This window comes from Homo sapiens, chromosome 2, assembly GCF_000001405.40.
Source record: "Homo sapiens chromosome 2, GRCh38.p14 Primary Assembly".
NCBI classification, from domain to species: domain Eukaryota; kingdom Metazoa; phylum Chordata; class Mammalia; order Primates; family Hominidae; genus Homo; species Homo sapiens.
This window is the reverse complement of record NC_000002.12, coordinates 168606561-168628692: the sequence shown is the minus strand read 5'-3', so window position 1 is coordinate 168628692 and position 22132 is coordinate 168606561. Positions and strand designations below refer to the sequence as shown.

Genomic DNA, 22132 nt, shown 5'->3' with positions numbered 1-22132 from the left:
TCTGTATCAGTCGGAAACTTTGCCCTTTACCACAAATGATTACGTACATTTCTTGAGGCAGCAACAGAATCTCCCACCCCATATCTTAGTGATGGCTACTTTCAAAAGCCAACTGGGAAGAAGGAGATGTACTGTGAAATCTGGCAGTTTCAGTGACAGAAAGGCAGATTTAGGGACAAGATGACCTATGAAGGTACTGCATTCTGGAGGTTGGCGTTCTTAGACAATCCACATACAAAGCAACAAAGAACAAGGCTATTGGAGATAGCTGCTTTATATGAAACTTTCACTGAAAATGGGGCCAAGTCTATAGACATCAACCTGCTTCAAGGTCAGAGATCTAAAAGAGGACTTTTACTAACAAACAGGAGGAGAGAGAGTGGGGCTGAGGGCAATCCACACATCCCCTCTGTGAGCAGGTCTAGATGAATATCTCTAAATTCGGGAATGAAAATAACAGCTCAGTGGCAGCATGGGTCTACTAAGTAGTAATAAATGTGGAAAGAAAACGGCATGTTAAAGATTCAAAGGAAGAACAGCCTCCTAAAAATGACTTCCTAGAGGAATCATTAGTAATTTTTAGGAAAGTTTTAGGCATTGCCAATATAATACAAGAAGATATGACCCCTTGAAACAAAACAGAAAGTTGTAAGTCAATAAAAGACTGCCGGGTAAGATAAAGAGATTATAGGTGGAATAAAGGAGCATTGCACAGAGTCTGAAAAATGAAGTGCAGCATTATTATCCACTGGAGGGGAGGAACACAGATACATACAGTATAAAATTAAGTCATTTACATAGAGGGTAAACACCCCCATAAGGCCAGAGAAATGAACCAAAGATGAAAAAAGATCCTAGATCTGGAAGACTAGAAAACAAATCTAATTATAGCTGTTTCTGAGGAAATACAAGAACTAAAATAGAATAATCAAAGACAAAAAGACTAAAAAAAATGTGAACTGAAAAAAAAGACAACTAAATTGCATTCCAAACAATATCAATTCAAAGCGATGTTCTGACAAAAATGTTGAATCCTAGGTTTACAATAAAAAAAAAAAAAACTTCAGTGTTCAAGCATAAAAACAACAAGTCAACACACACAAATCAAATGAAAACAAATCACCATCAAAAGAACAAATACCCAGTTGGTCTTACAGTTCTCTGCTGTATTATTAAGTGCCAAAAGAAAGGGAAGACTCAATCAAAGAAAGCTTCTGCCAGGCAAACTTCCTCTCATTTGCAGAGGAATATATGAAAAGTATTCTCATATATTCAGAGGCTCTAAAAATACATTATTCATTAACCTTTATGAAAAAATTACTTCAGCCTATTCTGACCCACCAATATACAAACAAAAAATAATATTTCAAAAAGTATAATTCTAGCATAAAAAGACTATGGTTAGCAACATAAATCATTGCCCTAAATTTCATTGCCAAATTAAATGCTCTTGTTTTTAAGGGATAATTTAATACAAAATATTTAGCAATAATAATCAAGGGATGAATTCTTAGATTAATGAAAACGAGGAAAGGAAGCATTAAATTCATTCTTACGGGAAAATTTCAAAAGACTTCTTTTGATAACAGAAATAGACTAAGACTATTTCTTTAAACACTTAAAGATTACTCTTGGTTAAACAAGGTAAATTAAACACATAAATTTACCTCTGTGTCTTTATGAAAGTACCACTAAACGGGCAAAAGAGGGATTTTGTTCAGTAAAGCATAAACTCCCAGGGACACAAAACTGGAGTGAAGACAACCACCCTGTTTCAGGGCCTGGAAAGCTGCAGGAGGGGAGGAATGTTGGCTTAGCTAGTGGAACCAGAAGTTGAATCCTAAACGATCTGTGGAGGATGCTCAGAAGGACCACCAATTCCCAGAAAGACTCCATATAAGGAAGCAACCTTGTAAGACCAGTATTGGAAAAAGAAGCCTAGGGATTAGCCTGTCCAAAGCCAGACGCCTGGTAAATGGAAAAACTGGGACACAAACCTAGCAGTGACTCTAAAGCCCTCTCTCAAATTCTACAGAATTAGAGCACCCTGCTTTGCCTAGAGACGTCAATGTGTTCCACTACATTTGCTTGGATATGGAAGGCTTTTATATCTTTCAAACCTGAAAATTAGAATAGGAAGCTAGTAAAAACTACCACCCACTGAATCTGGTTTATTGTCCTTACACAACAAGGTTGAACAGGGCTCTTTGTTAAAATCAAGACTACTAAAATGTGCATTTGAAGCAGGAAATCAGAGCATTGAGGTCTCAGGTCTTGTTGCCAGGTGTCACCCAAAAGGCAAGGGATTGTAAACTACAGAGGCAGCAGAAGCAGGGGAATCATCCAGAGCAGCCACCACCCCGCACGACTCAGCACATGTTCTAGGGAGACCAGGGCAGGCATACGAGGGCCGTTTGATTTACAACTTTTATATAGTACTTCCTCTATCCCCTGAGTTCTTCTAAGCACTTTACAAATAGGAAGTCATTTAATGAAACTGTTCCACACAACAAGGTAGGCATTATTATCAACATCTTTATTTTTTTTTCCCTGATGAGGAAATGAGCACAGAGTGGGTTTAGTTACTTGCTGAAGGCCACACAGCTAGTAAGAGAGAAAGTCAGGATTGGAAACTAGGCTGTTTGGTTCCAGCATCCAAACTCTTAACCATTAAGCTATGCTACTTCTTCCTGATTTTATACCTAAAAATGGAAGACAATGTATTCAGCTAAAATGATGTTTCTAACCTGGTGGATATTAGTGGATGCTGCATAATTGAGAACTGTCTCTACCCTGATGAATGAAAACTGACTGCTTGCAAATCTGGGGATAGAAGAGCACCGAAAAGACGCTTCTTTTCAATACCAGGGTAGCTAAAACAATATTAAGCTTATTAACAATTATTACCCAGAGGGTTTTTCTCTGTCCTACTCACTCACCTCTCTCTACCTGCTGAGCCACTGTGGCTCCTTCAGGATTTATGTCAAATTCTAGTTGTTCCATAAAGCCACCTTTTCTGGATGCTGCAACATGGAAAACACTGTAATTCTGACTTGTTCTTTACCTCCTCTCCTTCTCTTTGATTACAGCCACAAGCCTTTGAATTGCTTGTGAGTTCCAAGTAGAGTAAGACTGAGTTTTATTTATCTTTGCATTTCTGACCACAAACAGTGGCTTGCAAAGAATAGTTCCTAAACTGACATCTAAATTTTTATTAGGAGTACGAGTGATCCTTTTATTTACTGACTTTTAAGTATATTTACACCACAATAGATCGAATAATTTATCAACTACTTCCAGGAACTGTGCAAGTATGAACAAAAAAGGGGAGAGAGATGACATATATTGCCAATTCAACTTCTAACGTGATCAATCAATCTGATAGAAATTTGGAATAAAAAATAGTCAACTCTGGAATGGTATAGCTAATGAAAAAACTGTTATTGTGTATAAAACTAAGATACATTGCTAGAGCACCAAAACATCAGTATATGGTTCTTTTGATTCTGAAATCGATTTTATTAATTGAGACATTCTCATTTCAGCTTTTCCATCATCTAAATAAAAAGATTAACTAATTTATTATCAAATCCATGAAGAGAGGTGAAGTATGGCTTATACCTATGACATTAAAATTTTTCTTTCATAAAATTTAACACAATATAAATCACTGCGCTGTATCTCACAAATTATTACAAATGAAGTGAAATTATACAGTTGGACAAATGAGCAGAATATATTTAGGAACAAATATAGACTTCAATCTAGTGTTACTTTAAAATACATAAATCACTTTACCTCTAAGAACAAAGTAGATTAAGTGCCTATTTTTCCACTCAAAACTCAGAGCTTTCATGAGATATGAACAAAGCTACAAGATAGACATATTACACTCATTTTTATCAGTTTTCCAGTCAAGTACAATGGAATTTATAAAAACCTTCCAATGAGGTTTCCGTATTATATGTGACACATTCCCTTCCACAAAGTTTGGACATGAAGTAATTGTGGATTCAAGTTTGATAGAAGTAGTCATCTTTGTGAAGTCCTTTTACTTATAGTAGGTTCTCTTGGGGTGGGGGGTGTCACCTATTTATTTTTACAAAACAGTAACAGCTGGCATTTCATGGGTACTTACTTTATACCTGATACCATCACAAGAGTCTTACATATATTAACTCACCTATATTTTGTAAGAACCCTGTGGGATAGATACACTGTGCCACTATCATTCCCATCGTACTATAAGATGGCAAGTTTAAATTACTTGCCAAAGTACATGGTGAATTTGGGATTCAAATCCAAGCAATTTGACTCCAGAGATCATGGTTTTTACTACTAAATATTAAAAATTTTAGCACATAAATTAAAATCTTATTTTGACTATAAATACCATTACTCTGCTGCTACCATCTCTGTTTCAGTTCCTTTTCTATGCTAAGGTAGGAGGGCAAATAAGACTTTGTTTACTCTTCATTTCTCTAAATAACGTAAAGCACACACTCAATGTGAAATGACTTAGCTAAAATCCTATTCAGAGCTGGTGTCATGAATGTATACTAGCAGAAAAACAGCTCACTGAATGCAACGATTCGGTCTTACAGGTGTTTTACAGGAACATCAGTATATTTCTGTCCACATAAATCAGAGGCATCTAATCCTGCACTCTTAAATTTTCTTGAAGCAGACATTGTTCTTAACAGCCTAGGTAGGGTCCCTAAGAGCCCATCTATGACCTTATTCTACAGATAGAAGACCCATGGAATTGTAAACTTTTCTACATTTAACAAGTAACTTTGTGAAAGAAAACAGGTGTCCCCGTTTTTCACACCAGGTCTCCATCGACATCTTGGGGTCCTGTGACCTTAAAGTCAAGACTAGAAATGGGTAACTATGCCACAAGTGTCAGAAAAAAACTCAGATACCTGATATACTGCCTATTTTTTGAGTATAGTATTCTTTAATGTATAAATATCAAATTTTACAGATTGACATCTAAAGTTCTTAAAAGTCACCAGCTTCAGCCTTTGTTTGTTTAGGTAGATTGGTGAAATTTTGATTTGTGGAACAAAATATTCAATTATTTTGTATTTAATAAGTCTAACAAAGCCATCAGACATATTCAAGCACGTTAATGATTCAGATACAAAATTCTTTCTCGTCCCATGAGCTTTTAGCCAAAGTGTCTCTCTCTAAAGATTGTAACACGGCATTTTTTTTTCCTGCTTTACTGAGGTATAACTGAAAGAGAAAATTGTATGATGTGAATGTGTACAACATGATAACTCATATACAGATACTTGGTGAAATGATTCCCATAATCTAGTTAGTTTTAAACCTGGGTCACCTTACTGTGCTATATATTAGATCCCTGGAATGTATTCATCTTATAACTACAAGTTTGTTATCTTTCAACCAACATCTCCCTCTTTCCCCCACTCCTATCCCTGGTAATCACTATTCTACTGTTTCCATGAGTTCAACTGACACCACATTCTGAAGGGAGGAATGGGCTTGAAGTCTTGGTTAACTGATTGGTTTCATCTGTAAACACTGTTAAAAAGTTGTCACATGATTTTTAGGTCAGTAGTCTCCTTTTCGAGCTGTTACTGAGACACTGACTTTATTACTTGAGTTCAATGGAGATGTTCATCAACTGGGGAGGAAGCAAATTGACTGTAGTTTCAAAAACATCCCATATGTCTTAAACAATAAAATAAAGGTGAGATGACAGATTCCTTTTTGGAAACTCTGACATAAAATCTAAATTTCTAGAGTAGCTTTCAAGCTTTCATTAGTTTAAAGAAACTAATGTCCAAAGAAATATGATAGCTAGGGGAAAAGATGTTACTCATCCGTTAGACAGGTTATGCAGACTTGAGTTCTTGCTTTAAGACAAACATTTCCTGAAACTATTTCCACCTCCATCAATAATTAACTCTGTAACTCCAAATAGTTTTCTTCATTTGCTTAAGGCTCAGCTCTTTCTGTTTGAAAGGGAACAGAATTATCAATGCAAAGTCTTTGAGGTTGGAGGTAAGTCAAACCCATTCACCTATTCACTTTTCATTCTCCAGTCAAAGGTGAACTTAATTTGGGTAGAAGAGTCTTCATTAAATCATTGATTCAAAAAATATATTAGGCAGTTATGGAAAGTCTGATGATTTGCAAAGGAATGCTATATGTCTCTCATATATATGCATATATATAAACACACATATATGTAGTGTTTTAAACACAACAAGAAAATATAAACATTAAATTCAGGATAGACATTACTTTTGAAGAGTAAAGAACAGAGAAGGTATACAGCAAGCTGGTCCAAACCACAGCCTGCAGGCCACATGCAGGCCAGGACGGCTTTGAATGCGGCCCAGCATAAATTTGTAAACGTTCTTAAAACATTATTAGATTTTTTTGTGATTTTTTGTTAGCTCAATGACTATCCTTAGTGTTAGTGTATTTTATGTGTGGCCCAAGACAATTCTTCTTCTTTCAGTGTGGCCCAGGGAAGCCAAAAGATTGGACATTTCTAGGGTATATGGGGAGCTTTAGCTGATTCTGTAATATTTCCATCCTCTAAAACAGCATCAAATATTACTGGGTGGGTTTTTATTGTATTAGTCTCTGTGCTTGTTACATTTTCTCTGTACTGTAAAATATTTCATTATTAAAAGATTCTGTACACAAGAATTATGCTCACTCAGAATGTATTAAATGACTACGTCTTTGCCTTCTCTCATACTTAGAAACGTCATATGACTTGTTCTTTACACCATCATTCCAACCATCCTTTTCTAAGCATTATAATTAATTTTCCTGTTTTCCTGTCATTGTATTCATGCTTTTAGGGCTAAAATTGCCATTGGAAGTGTATCAGATATTGTATGCATATATAGTTCTAAATCCACTATGTTCTATTTCACAGATTTAACTTTGATTTTGTTTTTTAGTGCTTTGGTCATAGGCTCCATTAACAGCTAGCCCATATTGTTCTTTATTGGGATCCATTCTTTTCTCTCCAAGTTGACTACCCTTGTCAAGCACCCAGCAAGGTAGAATTCAGCACCAATGGTATCTGTCCCTTCCCGTTAGTCTTCCCAACATCAGCCCTAGTCCCTATAATCTATTCAAAATACATCTGCAAAAAATTCAATGTCATTCTATTAGGTGAAATTCTGCCTATAAAATACCTCTCGTTACTTCTAGAATTCCCCTGAATATACACTAATCTTATAATTGTCAGCTTAAAGTCTATTTACACTCATTTGAATGACCAAAATTTGTGGGAATCAGAAAAAGATAAGCAAGAATTTTCCAACTAACAATTGTCTAGTGTAAGGATAAAAAAGGGAATAAAATATTGATCTATTGTGGCCAAAATTAAATTCAGTCAATATGACTTCGGAACATGCACTGGCAAAGGTCACAATTCTTTAGTGTGTGCTTCAAGCAAAAGTAGCCAAATGTTTATTATTATTTAGAGTCAAACTAATGTCATGTGTCCCTTGAACATCAAGGCTCTATGCAATTTTTTTCTTATCTGAAAGCAGACTGAAGACAAAAAGTCACTTCTTCAGCACTGATACTGTGATTGCAAAGGAAAAGAGAAAACTAAAGCCAAAGTTCTTAAGTTTTCAAAAAGCATGTACATTTGATTTTAAGAAGTGAATTTCCCCAGCTGGGCAGACTGCTTGAGCCCAGGAGTTCAAGACTAGCCTGGGCAACATACTGAGACCCCATCTCTGCAAAAAATACAAAAATTAGCCTGGCTTGGTGACATGTGCCTGTAATCCCAGCTACTCAGGAGGCTGAGGTGGGTGGATCACTTGAGCCTAGGTGGTCAAGGCTGCAGTGAGCTGTGATCACACCACTGCAATCCAGCCTGGGCAACAGAGCAAGACCTTGTCTTAAAAAAAAAAAAAAAAAAAAGGTGAATTTCCCCTTCTCTATTACCCTGCTTGGTGTCAGTTTTCTGCTGCAGGCTCTACTACACGTCTCATAACAAAACACGAGACTGAGTAACAGAACTTCCACAGGGATGAGGTAGAATCCATCACTTATTACTAAATCCATATCTATTAACAATAGAGTAAAATGTCTTTAGTTTCTTTATCTGACAATGGGGACTAAAATACCTAATTCTTAAGGTTGTTAGGGGAATTCGATGAGAAGAAAAAATTAAATTAAATTAACATGAACAGGAATGGGTCCTAGTTGGCTAAGAAGGCTCATTCTACTTTTTTTCTTTTTTAAAAAACTTTTTTTGTTTTCATAGGTTTTTGAGGAATAGGTGTTATTTGGTTACATGAGTAAGTTCTTTAGTGGTAATTTGTGAGACTTTGGTGCACCCATCACCCAAGCAGTATACACTGAACCCAATTTGTAGTCTTTTATCCCTCACACCCTTCCCATCCTTTCCCTGAGTCCCCAAAATCTATTGTGTCATTCTTATGCCTTTGCATCCGCATAGCTTCCACTTATAAGTTAGAACATACGATGTTTGGTTTTCCATTCCTGAGTTACTTCACTTAGAATAATAGTCTCCAATCTCATCCAGGTTGCTGCAAATGTCATTAATTCATTTCTTTTTATGGCTGAGTAGTATTAGATCATATATATATAAATATGTGTGTGTGTGTGTGTGTGTGTGTGTGTGTGTGTGTGTGTGTGTGTGTATGGATTGTGGAACCAGCCCAAATGCCCATCAATCAACGAGGGGATAAATAAACTGTGTCCACTTTGTTGATTGATGGGCATTTGGGCTGGTTCCACATTTTCACAATTGTGAATTGTGCAGCTATAAACATGAGTGTGCAAGTATCTTTTTCACATAATGACTTCTTTTCCTTGGGTAGATACCCAGTAATGGGATTGCTGGATCAAATGGTTCTACTTTTAGTTCTTTACCATAGTGGCTATAATAGTTTACATTCCCACTAGCTGTGCAGAGGTGTTCCCTATTCACCGCATCCATCTCAACGTCTATTACTTTTTGATTTTATTATGGCCATTCTTGCAGGAATAAGGTGGTATCACATTGTGGTTTTGATTTGCATTTCCCTGATCATTAGTGATGTTGAGCATTTTTTCCTGTTTGTTGGCCATTTGTATATCTTCTTTTGAGAATTCTCTATTAATGTCCTTAACCCACTTTTTGATGGGATTGTTTGATTTTTTTTTCTTGCTGATTTGTTTGAGTTCTTTTTAGATTCTGGATGTTAGTCCTTTGTCAGATGTATAGATTGCGAAGATTTTCTCCCACTCTGTGGGTGCTCTATTTACTCTGCTGACTTCCTTTTGCCATGCAAAAGTTCTTTAGTTTAATTAAGTCCCAGCCATTTCTCTGTTTTTTCTGCATTTGCTTTTAGGTTCTTGGTCATGAAAAACTTGCTTAAGCCAATGTCTAGAAGGGTTTTTCCAATGTTATCTTCTGGAATTTTTAAGTTTCAGGTCTTAGATTTAAGTCCTTCATCCATCTTGAATTGAGTTTTGTAGATGAGAGATGAGGATCCAGTTTCATTCTCCTACATGTGGCTTCCCAATTATCCCAGCACTATTTGTTGAATAGGGTGTCCTTTCCCCACTTTATGTTTTTGTTTCCTTTGTTGAAGATAAGTTGGCTGTAAGTATTTGGCTTTATTTCTGGTTCTCTGTTCTGTTCCATTGGTCTATGTATCTATTTTTATACCAGTACCATGCTGTTTTGGTGACTATGGCCTTATAGTATAGTTTGAAGCCTCCAGATTTGTTCTTTTGCATAGTCTTGCTTTGGCTATGTAGGCTCTTTTTTGGTTCCATATAAATTTTAGGATTGCTTTTCTAGTTCTGTTAAGAATGATGGTAGTATTTTGATGGAAATTGCACTGAATTTGTAGATTGCTTTTGGCAGTATGGTCATTTTCACAATATTTATTCTACCCACCCATGAGCATGAGATGTGTTTCCATTTGCTTATGTCATCTATGATTTACTTCAGCAGTGTTTTGCAGTTTTCCTTGTAGAGGTCTTTCACCTTCTTGGTTAGATATATTCCTAAGTATTTTATTCTTTTTGCAGCTACTGTAAAAGGGGTTGATTTCTTCATTTGATTCTCCACTTGGTCGCTGTTGGTGTATACGAGAGTTACTGACTTGTGTACATTAATTTTGTATCCAGAAGCTTTGCTGAATTTTTTATCAGTTCTAGGAGCTTTTTGGAGGAGTCTTTAGGGTTTTCCAGGTATATAATCATATCATCAGCAAACAGCCACAGTTTGACTTCCTTGTGACTGATTTGGATGCCTTTTATTTCTTTCTCTTGTCTGATGGCTCTGGCTTGGATTCCAGTACTATGTTGAAGAGAAGTGGTGAAAGTGGGCATCCTTGCCTTGTTCCTGTTTTCAGAGGGAATGCTTTCAACTTTTCCCCATTCAGTATTATTTTGGCTCTGGGTTTATCATAGATGGCTTTTCTTACATTCAGGTATGTCTGCTGAATGCCAATTTTGCTAAGGGTTTTAAACATAAAGCCATGCTGGATTTTGTCAAATGCTTTTTCTTGGTCTATTGAGATGATCGTGTGATTTTTGTTTTTATTCTGTTTATGTGTTGTATCACATTTATTGACTGATGTATGTTAAACCACTCCTGTATCCCTGGTATGAAACTCACTTGATTATGCTGGATTATCTTTTTGACATGTTGTTGGATTTGGTTAGCTAGTACTTTGTTAAGGATTTTTGCATGTATGTTCATCAGGGATATTGGTCTGTAGTTTTCTTTTTTGGTTATGTCCTTTCTTGGTTTTGGTATTAGGGTGACACTGGCTTCACAGAATGATTTAGGGAGAATTCCTTCTTTCTCTACCTTGTGGAATAGAGTCAATAGGATTGGTACCAATCGTACTTTGAATGTCTGGTAGAATTCAGCTGTGAATCCATCTGGTCTTGGACTTTTTTTTGTTGCTAAGCTTTTAATTACCATTTGAATCTCACTGCTTGTTATTGGTCCGTTCAGGGTGTCTAATTCTTCCTGATTTAAGCTAGGAGGGTTGTATCTTTCCAGGAATTTATCTATCTCCTCTAGGTTTTCTGGTTTACGGGTGTAGAGGTGTTTATAGTAGCCTTGAATGATCTTTTGTATTTCTGTAGTGTCAGTTGTAATACCTCCTGTTTCATTTCTAATTGAACTTATTTGGATTTTCTCTCTTCCTTTCTTGGTTAATCTTGCTAATGGTCTATTAATTTTCTTTATCTTTCCAAATAACCAACATTTTATTTCATTTATCTTTTGCAATTTTTTTTGTTTCAATTTCATTTAGTTCTGCTCTGATTCTGGTTATTTCCTTTCTTCTGCTGGGTTTGGGTTTGGTTTGTTCTTGCTACTCCAGTTCCTTGAAGTGTGATCTCAGAATGTCCGTGTGTGCTCTTTCAGACTTTTTGATGTAGGCATTTAGGGCTATGAACCTTCCTCTTAGCACCACCTTTGCTGTATCCCAGAGGTTTTGACAGGTTGAGCCACTATTGTCATTCAGTTTGAAGAATTTTTAAATTTCCGTCTTGATTTCATTTCTGACCCAATGATCATTCAGGAGCAGGTTATTTAATATCCATGTATTTGCATGGTTTTGAAGGTTCCTTTTGGAGTTGATTTCCACTTTTATTCTGCTGTGGTCTCAGAGAATGTTTGATATAATTTCAATTTCCTTAAATTTATTGAGACTTTTGTGGCCTATCATATGGTCTGTCTTGGAGAAGGTTCCATGTGCTGATGAATCAAATGCATATTCTGTGGTTGTTGGGTAGCATGTTGTGTAAATATCTATTAAGTCCATTTGTTCCAGGGTATAGTAAAAATACATTGTTTCTTTGTTGACTTTCTGTCTTGATGACCTGTCTAATGCTGTCAGTGAAGTACTGAAGTCCCCACTATTACTGTGTTGCCATCTATCTCGTTTCTTAGGTCTAGTAGTAACTGTTTATAAATTTGGGAGCTCCAGTGTAAGGTGCATAAATATTTAGAATTGTGACATTTTCCTGTTGGACAAGGCCTTTTATCATTATATAATGTTCCTCTTTGTCTTTTTTAACTGCTGTTGCTTTAAAGTTTGTTTTGTCTAATATAAGAATAGCTACTCCTGCTCGCTTTTGGTGTCCATTTGCATGGAAAGTCTTTTTCCACTCCTTTACCTTAAGTTTATGTGAGTCCTTATGTATTAGGTAAGTCTCTTGAAGGCAGCAATAGTTGGTTGGTGAATTCTTCTCCATTCTGCCATTCCGTATCTTTTAAGTGGAGCACTTAGGCCATTTACATTCAATGTTAGTATTGAGATGTGAGGTACTATTGCATTCATTATGCTATTTATTGCCTGTATACCTTGGATTTTTATTTTTTTTTCCTAAATTGTATTTTTGTTTTATAGATCCTGTGAGATTTATGCTTTAAAGAGGTTCTGTTTTGATGTGTTTCCAGAATTTGTTTCAAAATTTAGAGCTCCTTTTAGCAGTTCCTGAAGTGCTGGCTTGGTAATGGCAAATTCTCTCAGGATTTGTTTGACCGAAAAAGACTGTATCTTTCCTTCATTTGTGAAGCTTAGTTTCACTGGATACAAAACTTTCGGCTGATAATTGTTTTGTTTGAGGAAGCTGAAGATAGGTCTCCAATCCCTTCTAGCTTGTAGGATTTCTGCTGAGAAATCTGCCGTAAATCTGATAGGTTTTCCTTTATAGGTTACCTGGTGCTTTTGCCTCACAGCTCTTAAGATTCTTTCCCTCGTCTTAACTTTAGACTACCTGATGACAGTGTGCCTAGGCGATGATCTTTTTGTGATGAATTTCCCAGATGTTCTTTGTGTGTCTTGTATTTGGATGTCTACGGCTCTAGCAAGGCCAAGGAAGTTTTCCTCGATTATTCTCCCCAATATGTTTTCCAAACTTTTAGATTTCTCTTCTTCCTCAGGAACACCGATTATTCTTAGGTTTGGTCATTTAATGTAATCCCAGATTTCTGGGAGGCTTTGCTCATTTTTTCTTAGTCTTTTTTCTTTGTCTTTGTTGGACTGTGTTAATTCAAAAACCTGTCTTCAAGCTCTGACACTCTTTTTTCTGCTTGTTCGACTCTATTGCTGAGACTTTCCAGAGCATTTTGCATTTCTTTCGTGCATCCAGTATTTCCTAAAGTTTTTATTGTATTTTATTTATGCTGTCTATTTCACTAAAGATTTCTTCCCTCATTTCTTCTATCATTTTTTTTTTATTTCGTTAAATTGGACTTCACCTTTCTCTGGTGCCTCCTTGATTAGCTTAATTACTGACTTTCTGGATTCTTTTTCAGGTCAATCAGGGATTTCTTCTTGGTTTGGATCCATTGCTGGTGAGCTGGTGTGATTTTTCGGGGGTGTTAAAGAAACTTGTTTTGTCATATTTCCAGAATTGTTTTTCTGGTTCCTTCTCATTTGAGTGGGCTATGTCAGGGGGAAGATGTGGGGTTCAAGGCTGCTGTTCAGATTCTTTGTCCCATGAGGTGTTCCCTTGATGTAGTACTCTCCCTCTTTTCCTAGGGATGTGGCTTCCTGAGAGCCAAGTTGTAGTGACTGTCATCTCTCTTGTGGATCTAGCCACCCAGCAGGTCTACCAGGCTCTGGGCTGGTGCTGGGGGTTGTCTACACTGGGTCCTGTGATGTGAACCATCTGCAGATTTCTCAGCTATGGGTACCAGCTCCAGAGGAGGTGGCAGGGGGGGTGAAATGGACTCTGTGAGGTTCCTTAAGTTTTGGTTGTTTAATGAACTATTTTGTGCTGATTGGCCTCCTACCAGGAGGTGGCGCTTTGAAGAGAGCATCAGCTGTGGTAATATAGGGAGCATCAGGCAGTGGATGGGGACCTAGAACTCCCAAGAGTATATGCCTCTTGTCTTCAGCTACTAGAGTGAGCCAGGAAGGACCATCAGGTTGGGGCAAGGCTAGGCACGTCTGAGCTCTGACTCTCCTTGGGCAGGAGTTGCTGCAGCTGCTATGGGGGATGGGGGTGTGGTTCCCAGGCCAATGGAGTTATGTTCCCAGGAAGATTATGGCTGCCTCTGCTGTGTCATGCAGGTTGGTCAGGGAAGTGGGGGAAAGCCAGCAATTACAGGCATCACCCAGCTTCCACACAACCCAAAAGGCCACTGTCACTCCCACCATGCACCCCACAACAGCACCAAGTTTGTTTCCAGGCAGTGGGCAAGCAGGGCTGAGAACTTGCCCCAGGCTACCAGCCTCCCAGCTGTGAAAGCCAGCTGGGCTCTTTCAATTGCCCTGACATACCAGTCACACAATGCAGACATTTAAAATCATGCCTCATCTCCTGGAGTTTTAAGTTGTTTGTAAAGAAAATACAAGTATGTGTAGACACAGATGTTTATACATGTGTATATGTTCACACATATGCATATGTATATTATGAAAATATGTGTATACACATACGTTTGTATGCACATATGTATGAAAGTTAAATCCATGTATGTCAAGGATCTCCCATCCAATTGAAAACAAATGTAGTTGCACAGACTTCTGACCAATAATTTGTATTTTCTATTTGAGAAGATGCTCTTGTTCCTTCCTCACTCAGTGAAGGGGCCATAATCAGCCTAACAATCTGTCAATGCTTACATTTTTCCAATAAATGCCAGTGAACTTGCACTCCTGCATAAGAAAATAAGCCATTTCACAAAATCCAACCCCATTACAATGCACACAATGAAGTTCTTAGCTGACTGGCTGATGCCATATGAGCTGCATGCTGATTGCAAGAGTTGTGAGTTGCTCACACATCAGCTATATTCATACTGCAGCACCTCATGTTCTAAATAACAAGGGCCCTTTTTTCACTAAGAGCATGGGAAGACAGTGAGACTGAGCTGCCCACTTGAACCGAGCATCATGATTTCTGGTCCTAGCCACTATTACATGGTATTACATATTGACTGTAAAGCTATACTTAGAAAATGAGCAGCATGAAACAATGGGTGAACATGAGATCATGAGGTTGCCAAGCAGGAAACACTGTAGCAACAGTGTTTACACCTATGATACTCACAGGGTGATCCTGGGCAAGTTTAAGTGTCTCTTCTGGAGAAACAATCAGACCGTTAAGTTCTCTTGAACTCTTATATTTTGAGTCCAAGTCCTATATTAATTAAGTCTTGTATCTTGATCCTGCAATATTTGACACAACTGGCCATTCCACCTTGTTTGGATCACTGCTGCTGTGCTCATTCCCTTTCTGTCCCAACCCTCTGCTTCTCTTGCCTTGTGCACAGACCACCCTTGGTCTGTCAATGCCAGTGACACCTGGGGTTCCATCCTCAGCCTTCTTTTCACACCACGTGCTCCTGCTAGGTGAACTCACCCACTCCCTGTATGCTGGGCAATCACTGCCTCTAACCATCTCTATATCCCTGGACACCCAATGTCATTTGGACACCCAAACGTCGGCACCTGAGGCTCAAAATCCAAAAACAAACAAAACATATTATCTTTCTCCCAGGAATCCACTGTTTCTTCCTTCCATCTCTGTCAAGGACACTATTATTCACTCAATGTCCCAGGTCCTTGAGTCTTCCTTCGCCTTCAACCCCCCTTTATCCCAGGCATCAAACCTCAAAGTTCTGCATTGGAAATATCCGTTTCATTTACTTCCTTTGCTCCATTCCCTCAGTCTCTTCCCCAGCCCAACACACCTAGTCTTTACCTTTCTTCAAGAGGTAGGCTGGCATTAGCTGAGTGCCACAGCCAGACCTGTAAGCCAGGCTGTCAATTGATTAATCATGACAGAGCAGTCACAAAGTCCAGACTATTTGCTTTGACATGAATGAGAGTTACTCCTCCTGCAGAAAAATCTACACAGGAGGTTGCTTGCAAAACACAGAAAAAGAACAAGAGGAGTTTGAGATCTTAAGAAGTGCTGTTCAGACAGATGGCCTAAGGCACTGTCACCAAAGAGCAATTCTTACATATCCAGAGGCCAACACTCCTAATCCCCCAGTGCTTTAATATTCTCAGCCAACCTGAAACTCAAAATCTCTGCAATAGGCAACCCATATGATGTCTCTGTGCCTCCACCCTTTTCTTAGTTGGGTAAAGCTAATCAACTGTTGCTCTGGCCTAGCCTGGGATAACCTCTTTAGGGAGACTAGATAAATCTCATTCTTGTTTCACCATATGTGAATTAAACAAAACAACACAAAAAAGCCTTAACCCTGAGTTTTCTTCTTCGTCCATCTCAACCTTTCATGATCCTCCTGCGGTTTTCTCTGGTCTCCACCTCCCAAGAAGTGTTTATCCCCATAAGATATTGTTCTAACATTAAGACAACATATGTTATTAGTCATCCTTTAAGTGACCAACAATCAGTTGGAAATTTTCAACTCTGAGTGAAAGATCTGTGTCTTAAATCTTCTACGTAGGACTGGCTCTCAGGAAGCTATGTTCACTCAGCCTGGGCATGAAGACTTCCTCCACAATTTCACACAGTCTGTTTGATCCTGGGCACTCCCTATGCCTCTTTCTCATCTGCAAAATGAAAATAAAACCACCTACATCAAAGGGTTAGAATGAGGATTAAATGAGGCAATACTTGTAAAGTATGTAGAACAGCATTCAACACATGGCAAGGGCTCCATAACTCTTAACTATCATTACTATTTTTATATAGCTGGCTTATGACGTACACCCAATAAATGACTTCAAGTTTCATGAGTATGGGCCAGTGCCAATGGCTAGACAAACTACCAACTACAATATGACTCTAGGACAGACATCTCCTATTAGATTTGAAGAAGACACAAGTGTAGAATGAAGGAGGGCTTCATTCTTACAAAGTGGTTAAGCAGTACGTCACGTAAATGAGAGACTCTGTGTTGCTTTTTTGTTAAATTTATGTGTCAGGATTTGGCTGACTTCTTACTTTTCCCTTGTTTGCATTTTTAAAGTTATTTAATGTTTAATATTATAAAACCACTTGAGATTGCTACTAACTAAATCTGTACTTTGTACAAGCAGCTCTGAAAATGTTAAGTGTAAAATTTAGTAGGGCTGGAAAGTGAAAAGTACAGCAGTGAATTTCCATGGCAATGTGGTGTTATAAATAAGACATGATACACGGATAAATCGACCAATGAAGATGTACAGATGAACAAAGTAAGTATGTTTATTCATGGGTTTTAAAATCTTTTTGTATTCTGGTATTTTATAGCCACAAAATTAAATAATCTAACCTTCAAAGTCATCATGTAAGACCTTTAAACTGAGTCTCTAAACAAAAGTTGCAAACTTAAATCTCTACAGGGTCTAGGCAGGTTAAGGCAATTGAGGAGCTGGTTAAACTTGGCTCTCAGAGTACTGAGATGAATGGTTATTGGCACACAGTTTCTATGCTGATAATGCTGGGGAATGTGGCTATTTCAATACCCCACTGAAATAAGGGCTGGTCAAATGTCAAGAAAGAATGCAAACTCAAGTGTTGTCAGATTTTCCCCATTTTTTCACAGAAAGCTGAAAATCTGATGTTTTATAAGACATCAGACTTTTTAGATGCTGGTGATTAATCCTATTAAAAATAAAAATCAGGCCAGGCACACTGGCTCATGTCTGTAATCCCAGTACTTTGAGAGGCTGAGGTGGGCATATCACCTGAGGTCAGGAGTTCGAGACCAGCCTGGCCAACATGGTGAAACCTCGTCTCTACTAAAAATACAAAAAATTAGCCAGGTATGGTGGTGTGTGCCTGTAGTTCCAGTTACTCTGGAGGCTGAGGCATGAGAATTGCTTGAATCTGGGAGGCGGAGGTTGCAGTGAGCCGAGATTGCACCACTGCACTCCAGCCTAGGCGGCAGGGCAAGACTCTGACTCAAAAAATAAATAAATAAAAAATAAAAATCACACAGGCCAAATCGTGCAGGCTAGATTCAACTTGGGGCTACCAGTTCACAACCTGTGCTTTAAACTCTTTAACAGTATAACTATAGTATGTGGCAGAGATGGGTGGGATGGTCTACTCTTCTTACACTCTAAACTATATTCCATATAGAATGAAAGTCTGCTTTCCTGAAGCATAGAATTTTCATAGGGAAAATTCACTCTTGCATTAAATTATTAAATAATAATCTAATGAACTTTTGCTCAGTTCTCCGTTTGGAAAATATCTACCAAATAAAAATGAAATCAAATCAAATACATTCTATTTGTTATTATGCTAACAACTGGATGGCCATTCATTAAGATATACCGAGGATTTAGTAAATACCAAGACATACTACTAGGTGCTGGGAATATAAATATGAATTAAGTCAAAGTCCTTCCCTCAAGGGGCTGACAAGCTAATCTCCAAAGCTGCTTCCCGATGGATGGGCAACAGCTGTAAATCTAAGGAAGCCTTACCTATTCTAAAAAAAATCAGTCGGCCGGGAGTGGTGGCTCACGCCTGTAATCCCAGCACTTTGGGAGGCCGAGGTGGGTGGATCATGAGGTCAGGAGATCGAGACCATCCTGGCCAACATGGTGAAACCCCGTCTCTACTAAAAATACAAAAAATTAACCAGGCGTGGTGGTGGGCGCCTGTAGTCCCAGCTACTTGGGAGGCTGAAGCAGGAGAACGGCATGAACCCGGGAGGCAGAGCTTGCAGTGAGCCGAGGTCGCGCCACTGCACTCCAGCCTGGGCAACATAGCGAGATGCCATCTCAAAAAAAAAAAAAAAAAAAAACAGTCACATCTTTTGTCTTCACTCCCAGCTTGTGACAATATTTGGAGTTACCTCTATTTTCAAGGTCAACCTGCCCTAGTGTCACTGGGAAAAAAAAGCCTGGAGAACTCAGTCTTTCCACATCAAACCTGTTAAGCCCTGTTAAAACAGAGATGGTGTCCCTTCTCACCCCTTCTCTGGGTAAGCGGCAAGGAAAGAGTGGTTGAGTAGAGAGGCCGAAGAGAACAAGGCAGAATACAAACCTCAAAGAAAGTTCCTGAGAGCTAAGTAGTTTTCCCAATGTCCAAATCCTCTCAAGACTTTAGGGTAACACAGAGCAGGGAAAAATGGGCAAGGCTTCAGTGGCTCTCAACAGGGGACTGTCATTAAAGGTATGAAGGTCCCCACTCCATGGCAGTGGAGGAAGAGCTCATGGACATAGGAGCTGAGGGTGACCAGGCCCTTTCTGGTATTGTTCTGAACCTAAAAAGGACTTGGAGCGAAAAGATTCTTGACATTATGAAACATTTATCAAGAATGAACTATATTCTTATATTTATCTTTCCTCTTCTAGTAAAAAGCACAATAAAGGCACATCAATGTTCATACTTTGAGAAACAACAAAAAGGAAATGTAATCCATCCCACTGTCAAAGATTTCATCATAAGATTTTTTTAAAGTTTGTAAACTTATAAAAGAAGGGAGGCCAGGGGTGGTGACTACTCACAGTCCCAGCTACTTGGGAGGCTGAAGCGGGAGGATCCCTTGAGCCCAAGAGTTTAAGACTGCAGTGGGTAGGTGGGGAGGCAATCAGTAAGAAATTTCCAGGCTAGGCTTGAGATAGAACCAACCATCCAAGATAACCTCTCCCTACTGATGCCCTTGAAGTCACCTTTGACAGATGCACCCTAAATGGAAAATGAAGTAAAAAGATACAGGCAGCAGGTAAACCTGGCACTGCCTAGAGCTCTAGCATTGTGTGGGTATCCAAAATATTCAAACTATCTAAAGAGGTGACCAACCCTGACACTGACTCATTGGAGGAGTTCCACAAACTCCTACAAATCTCAGCTTTGGAATAAAATAATCAACATGAGAAAAAAATATTGGAAATCTCTTCTATGTTATGAATTCATAACTCATGTTTCAAAATGCATTGCCCTTCAAAAGATACCATAAATAAAAGGCAAGCCATAGACTAGGGGAAAATGTTTGCAAGTCATTAAACCCACAAAGGATTTGTATAAAGAACTCTTAAAACTCAATAGTACAAAAATAAACACAACTTTAAAATGTGCAAAAGATCTAAACAGATATCTACCAATACATAAATTACCAATAATCAAATGATAATGCAACATCATTATTCAACAGGGAAATAAAAATTAAATCTATAATGAGATATCACTTCACACCCCACTAGAATGGCTATAATTGAAGAGATAATAGCAATGTTTTTGAGGATGCAGTGAAACTGGAACCCCAATACACTGCTGGTGGGAAGATGAAATGGTGTATCTTAGAAAGTTTGATAATTTCTTAGATATTCATGTTCATATTTCATATCTCTAAATGTGAATTTATCATATGACTCAGTAAGCAATTTCTCTTTTAGGTAGCTGCCCAAGAGAAATGAAGACATGTCCAGGCAAAGGCTTCTATCCGAATGTTCACAGCAGCATTATTCATAGTAGCCAAAAAGCAAAGACAATGAAAAATACCCACTCAATGGTGAATGGATAAACAAAGTGAGGTATATCCATTCAAATGAAGCACTCATATATTCTCTGAGCTATATGAAACTCAAAAGCATTATGCCAAGTGGAAGAAGTTAGCCACAAATACCACATATTGGGTGATTCCACTTATATGAAATGTTCTGAAAAGGCAAATCTATTGCGACAGAAAATAGATTAGTGGTGGTTGCCTGGGACTGGGAGTACAAGGGAGTGAAAGCATATGGCCTGTCCACAGTTGCTCTGTTTGCTCCACAGGGAACTCAGCTCACAACTGAGGTTCTCTCTCTGATGCATTCAGAAGGATGGAACATACATTAAAGAACAGATAACTGATACTCAAGATATTTCATGATAGAAGCAAACACTGAGGTAATGTTCCATTCCGTGTGAGCCCAGAGCCAACTCCTTCATATGGGGAGGGTATTTTGTAATTCTCTTCTCTTTGTATGCTTCCAAAATATATTGTAATGACTACTGATTGATTTAAAATTTTGCAGCAAACCTTTTATACTTTCTTTATTAACCCCTGAAAAGACTGCAAAAACATAAAACATTTCTATTAAGATATACTAGTTTTGGCCTGGCACAGTGGCTCACGCCTGTAATCCCAGCACTTTGGAAGGCCGAGGCAGGCGGATCACAAGATCAGGAGATCGAGATCATCCTGGCCAACATGGTGAAACCCCGTCTCTACTAAAAATACAAAAATTAGCCGGGCATAGTGGCATGTGTCTGTAATCCCAGCTACTTGGGAGGCTGAGGCAGGAGAATCGCTTGAACCAGGGAGTTGGAGGTTGCAGTGAGCTGAGATCATGCCACTGCACTCTAGCCTGGCAACAGAGCAAGACTCCGTCTCAAACAAATAAACAAACAAAAAAAAGATATACTAGTTTTGATTACTGGGAAGAGTAACTTAAAAGAGTTTTTTTAAAAAGTAATGAATTATCTCTTATAATCAAAGTAAGGAAAGATGTTGCAACATTATTCCCTATACCAAGGGTTAGTAAATTTTTTCTAGAAGGCCAGTTAGTAAACATTTTAGGATTTGTGCACCAAGAAGAAAAACTAAGGATATTATGTAAGTGTTTATATAACCATTTAAAAATGTAAAAACCATTTAAAAATGTAAAATATAACCATTTAAAAATGTAAAAACCCATTGTAATAGTCCATTCTTGCATTGCTATAAAGAAATGACTGAGACTGGGTAATTTATAAAGAAAAGAGGTTTAATTGGCTCATGGTTCTACAGGCTGTACAGGAACCACAGCAGCATCTGCTTCTTGAGAGGCCTCAGGAAACTTACAATCATGCCAGAAGGCAAAGGGGATGCAGGCACATCTTACATGGCCAGAGCAGGAGCAAGAGAGAGAGGGGGAAGGTGCCACACACTTTTAAACAACCAGATCTCATGAGAACTCACTATTGCAATGACAGTACCAAGGCAGATGATGTTAAACCAAGAGAAACCAACCCCATGATTTTCTAATCACCTTCCACCAGGTCCCACCTCCAGCATGGGGATTACATATCAGTATGAGATTTGGGTGGGTACAGAGATCCAAACCATATCAACCTGCCCCTGGCCCCTTCCAAATCTCATGTTTTTCTCACATTTCAAAATAAAATCATACCTTCCCAACAGTCCCCCAAAGTCTTAATTCATTCCATCATTAACTCAAGACCACAGTATGAA

At 38.3% G+C, this 22132-nt stretch overlaps 1 protein-coding gene across 2 annotated transcripts in view, besides 1 other annotated feature; it reads right to left on the bottom strand.

The window, feature by feature from the left end:
* The window catches only part of CERS6 (ceramide synthase 6), a 318863-nt gene that overhangs the window by 146442 nt on the left and 150289 nt on the right, over positions 1-22132 (bottom strand). The window lies entirely within an intron of this gene.
* Positions 13655-14154: an enhancer, noted in NCBI's record as "H3K4me1 hESC enhancer chr2:169471049-169471548 (GRCh37/hg19 assembly coordinates)". NCBI's record gives its function as "activates a minimal SCP1, AML or CMV promoter by ChIP-STARR-seq in naive H9 embryonic stem cells {active_cell/tissue: H9 hESC(naive)}" and the evidence as "EXISTENCE:reporter gene assay evidence [ECO:0000049][PMID:30033119]".